Below are 1,161 nucleotides of genomic sequence, written 5' to 3'. Positions count from 1 at the left end.
TTCCCTTTCTTCAGATGGGTGGAGAAGATGTAAATATTAGTTTTACTTTTTTGATTTAAATAAAAAATTTTATTCCTAATAAATATTTTATAATTTTTAGAAGAAAATAAAAGATAAGAAATATGCATACAAAAATCATGATGGTAGCTGCTTTTAACGGGAGCAGGAGGGAAATAGAACTGCAAATAATGTTTTAAAAGGACTTTCATCCTAATAATTTATTTCTTTAACAAAAGTGGAAGAAAATATAACAAAACAAGTAAAATATTCACAGGTATTCATTCTGATTGTAGGTGTGGAAAATACAGATTTTTGCTACATTATTCTTGTAATTTTCCCTATTTGAACTCTTTTTAAAATAAAGTATTTTATTCCCATCTGCTTTGTGCTGGGATCGTAATGCCATAGATATAGACAGACTTCTAGGCAGACAGATTATAGAACAAGACTGTGAAGAGTAACAATTAGATATGCTGTTCCATCCTCTGAGATACACTGTGAGCAGTAACATGATGCAGCACAAACAGCACTTAGCTCTTGGCTGAGTGAGGTGATAGACAGACAAACACTTTCAGCCTATAACACATCTTTATATTGTGTATTACTTCAATACTACCTAAATACCATGGGATCTCTTTCTGACAACAAAGTTAACAGAAAGTGGGCAGCAAAATATGTTCTATGTAAAAAGAAGAAATGTGAGTACTAAGCTATTTTCTAGAAATCAGTGACACTATATCAACTATAAGCATTCAGTGACTATAAAAACATTTTAAGGGCTACATCCACAATACAAACAGACAAAATAACTTGAAGTACAATTGAAACCTACAAAATTCTAAAAGATGTCATTTGAATTCTCAAAGGCATAGCAGTCAGAAAGTGTGTTTTTGAAAGCTAAGGAAGGGAATTTGCACAGTGGAAAGATAAAATCTTCAACTAAACAAGAGTCTTGTATAATTCAGGAAGAGAAATGAAATTGATATGTCAAAGAAGTTGGAGAGTGAAATATGGAAACTATCAAATCCAATGAAAGGAAGAATGCATGAGAAGATAAGAAAATTCTGTGTAAAAATTACAGAAAGATTCATTGAAAATGTCAAATACTTCAAGATGGCCATAGGAAAGTACATGCTCTTTCTCTAAGGAAAGGCTGCTCCA

The sequence above is a fragment of the Homo sapiens genome, chromosome 1, assembly GCF_000001405.40.
Source record: "Homo sapiens chromosome 1, GRCh38.p14 Primary Assembly".
NCBI lineage: Eukaryota > Metazoa > Chordata > Mammalia > Primates > Hominidae > Homo > Homo sapiens.
This window is presented reverse-complemented; position numbering follows the sequence as displayed.